The sequence below is a fragment of the Homo sapiens genome, chromosome 17, assembly GCF_000001405.40.
Source record: "Homo sapiens chromosome 17, GRCh38.p14 Primary Assembly".
In the NCBI taxonomy this organism is placed as follows: domain Eukaryota; kingdom Metazoa; phylum Chordata; class Mammalia; order Primates; family Hominidae; genus Homo; species Homo sapiens.
The window spans coordinates 65,592,206-65,596,070 of record NC_000017.11 but is presented as its reverse complement, the minus strand read 5'-3'; the positions used below and the strand labels follow the sequence as shown (position 1 = coordinate 65,596,070).

At 49.1% G+C, this 3,865-nt stretch overlaps 1 annotated feature.

Annotated features, from left to right (window-relative positions):
• Positions 1,617-2,432: an enhancer, noted in NCBI's record as "NANOG-H3K27ac-H3K4me1 hESC enhancer chr17:63589757-63590572 (GRCh37/hg19 assembly coordinates)". NCBI's record gives its function as "activates a minimal SCP1, AML or CMV promoter by ChIP-STARR-seq in naive H9 embryonic stem cells {active_cell/tissue: H9 hESC(naive)}" and the evidence as "EXISTENCE:reporter gene assay evidence [ECO:0000049][PMID:30033119]".

Here is a 3,865-nt window from a genome sequence, read left to right as displayed (position 1 = left end):
ACCTCCCTGTCCCAGGTTCAAGCGATTCTCATGCCTCAGCCTCCCGAGTAGCTGTGATTACAGGTGTGGGCCACTACTACCCGGCTAATTTTTTTGCTTTTTTTTTTTTTTTTTTTTAGTAGAGACGAGGTTTTCCCATGTTGGCCAGGGTGGTCTCGAACTCCTGACCTCAAATTATCCATCCTCCTCGGCCTCCCAAACTGCTGGGATTACAGGCATGAGACACTGTGCCTGGCCTTACCGTGCTTTTCAAATCTTTTATTTCTTCACAGTAGAAATGCTTGAGCAGTTGTAGTTTGGGCAGAAAAGCAAAGGAGTCCCTCCAATTCAAGTAGAAGTTCCTCCAGGGTCTGCATAAATTGTATTATAAAGCCCCTTTTAGGTATCTAGAATAATGACACTTGATCTGAAGAAGTTTGCTTTTTGTTGAGCTAACTTTAGCATTCGCTTTCATTAGGAGCAGATACATCATAGCATCCTGGACAGCCCAGCACATTTGGTTCACATATAAATACATGCATATCTGTCTAGGCACTGTGTCCAAGATCATCACAGCTGAGGACATCACCACCCTGACCGTTGCTCAAGCCATCCTAAACTTCTGTGACTTCTCATTGGCTGGGCCTGGATCATGTGACTCTGTCCACCAGCCCATCATCACTCAGGCTCTCATTCTAACTAACCCTCATCCCCCAAAGCAGGATGACCAGAGCCCCGTGGCTCATTTTGAGTGACATGTCCACATCTCTGACCCCTCTGGTTTCTTTAAATCCAAGAAATGGAAGAGTGACCTAAAAGAAATGAGGGCTGAGGCTTTAAAGGATTACTATCTCTGAGAAAAAGTTCAGTCCCTGGGAGAAAAGAGCCCTAGGCCTTTGGAGAAAGTATGAGAAACATTTTGATCTTTTCACATAAACCACTCTACTTTTCAAAACCTGCTGTCTTTTTTTTTTTTTTTTCCCAGAGTGCTAGCTGAGTGTGTGTGTAAATACGAGAGAGGAAATAAAAACCCAACACAGGAGCGTTTTGAAATAAAAACCCAACAGGCTCATTTCAAATTGAATCCCAAGCATACACATTAGGGTCTCCAAGCTGTTTGTCCTTCTTCCCGGCACTGGCAGGAGGGCCTGACTCAAGTTATTCCTATGAACATGAGAATGCTCAGCCATTGCTTCCTGTCTGAACAGACTCAGGGGGCTACCGGCTGCCTCCCTTAAACTCAGAGTCACATGAAGCCCAGACCCCAGAACCCAGGCCAAGGGGACCCGTGCTGGCTCCAACATCCAGCAGGCAGAGGGCAGGCCTGTTTGTCTGACCCCCTCCCAGGCTTTCTCACCAGGGCTTCCAACCCCCAGCCTTCATGACACATTGCAGGAGGAGATGCTGGCTTTGTGGTTGCAAACACTGTCAGGACCTAGCAGATGGAGAAGGGAGCTTTCCAGATGTTGCACACAATAAAAGGAGTTTTTATTTTATTATTTCTTTTTTTAATGAGGAGTAGGGGAGTTGTAACAAGGGCAAAATGTGAGCTTTCAAATCCTCAACTGGCGGTGTTTGTGTGTGCATGTGTGTGTCAGGCTGAGAGGTGCGGGCTGCGCGGTGGAGGGGCAGACGCGGCTCTGTCACATCTAAAACCAAGCTGGGGCAGCTCCTCGTTACTGGAGAAGGCTTCTTGCTCATTCCAGTGCGACTGGCTCTTCCCCCCTGTGTTTTCGTCTTCTCTGTGTAGACAAGCATTCCAAATGGGATTAAATGAAAAGGAGAAATGAAACACACATTGCCAACATTCGTTAGTGCACACACGCTCCGTTTTTTTGTTGTTGTTGTTTTGTTTTGTTTCCTTCTTTTCTCCTCTCTCTCTCTTTCCTTCTCTCTTTAAACAGGGAGAGGCCAGCACCAAGTATAATAATCCTGAAAGAGCTGCTGCCTCTGGGAACCCAGAAAGACTTTTGCGAAAAAAAAAAAAGAGTTGTGGTGTTTTTTCCTCCTGATGGTGAGGATTTAAGTGAAACTGACTTTGCTCTTTGGTGGGAGAAGCGGCATGGAAGTTTCCCCTTTTTCTGGCAGCGTCTTTGGGGGACGGATCTTTTTAATAAGCCATTTCCTGGCGCTTGAATAGTTGGTCCCCCTCCCCCTTTAACAGTGTCATGCACCATGTCAGACATCAAAGCCCTAATTAAACCCATTCTTTAATTGTGTCTTTTTGCTTCATTACTTTCCCTTCCCCTTTGATGAGGGCTGCACCTCTCTGATCGCCCCCAAATTATCGTTTTCTCTTTATTTTCTAGAAGATCTGAAAATTGCTCGCTGGGTCATTATCAGGTACCCCCACTTCCTTTTTTACTTCTTCAAGTTGGGGACACGGGGCCTTCTCGGCCCCCATCCCCCACCCCCCATCCCCCTTCCCCCCAACGGTTAAAGGGATATTCACACCTTTTCCCCTCCCGGGTCTTCTATTCTTATGAAGTTTCCATTGATTATTGTCCTGAAATTCCTTGGTCCAGTCATAGATAAAAGGATAATGACTTCAAAGGGAAGAGTTAAGAGTTTAACCCCAAGCGAAGAGAGTGGACAACTAGGTAATTGAGGGTAATAACCCATCACAGACTTGCTTTCAAAGGATCGCCCAGCTGAACTCTCAGGTGGCTTTAATTTTATTAACATTTGTAGCCGCTGACTTGAGAAGACGGTCTGGAGACATTACAAGCTTCAAAGCTCCAGGTAACACTCCGCCCGGCCGGGAACCTGACATCAATTTGGGCCTGAGCGCCCCCCTCATACGGATGGCAGTGACTGCTGCTAACCCCAAACTTCTCTGCCAAACCAGACCCCAGAAACTCTGGGGAGGCGAGATCAAAAGTCCCACTCAGCCACACCCCTCCACAACGGCAATCAAGAATTCAGATCAAACAAAGACACTTAAAGGCACAAGGTTTGGGGGCGGAGGGGAGGAAAGCCTTCCTTTCTTGGTGTCAGTGGACCTGGGTCTTCATGGGTGCGCCCAGGGCACCCATGAAGGCTTTGCAGGGCAGGCTGGGAATCCCCAGGGACCAGGGAGCCCTGTGGGTGGGAGGAGGGCTTGATCCCTCAGGGGCCTCCCCCGCTTCCCCCACCTCTCTCACTCTCCTTGCATCCTCTGAGACATCCCTGACACCCATCAGAGAGAAGCAGACCTGGTGACCGGGCCAACATCTTTATTTTATGAATGAGAAAATAACATTTCAAAAGCCAAGATGGCTTGCCTGGAGAGCACCCGTGAATTGGTAGTAGCAGAACCCCCACCAAAGGCAGAGCTGACTCCCACAGCTAGAGCTGGATGAGCAGACAGGACCTGGGGAAGAAAGGAAGACTGCATCCAACTAGAACATTGCCCCAGGGAGACCCAACACTTGTATGACACTGGCATCAGCCCTGGCTAGCATCTTTCCAAGGCCTCCTGGCGGCTTCTTGCCCTGCACACCTGTGCGTTGCCCTTCAGTAAATCCCAAAGCCAGAGGGGGCCTCCCCTGGGTCATCATGGCCCCTGGGGTGCCATCCCCTGATTTATTGGGCTGATTGCCCAGCTCAGGTCTCCATTCTAGGGGTTGGAGAGGTTGGAGGGGAGCTCAATAGACTTCCTGGCCACCAAAATTGGGAGGCCTTCCTGGCGCATGGCTTCAGGCTGTCCTTTCGGCTGTTAGAAGTTTAACAAAAAGCCTTTGAAATGGATAGATGCTTGACCAGCTGCCAGGGCAGCTATAGCCTCTCTGCAAACTCGGGGCAGGGCTCTCTGACCACATTCCTAGGCCCAACCAGTGGGAAGGCTGGGTGCTGGGGGAGGTTACTAGAATATCTTCACCACTGCCAACATGCCTCAGCCCCACCA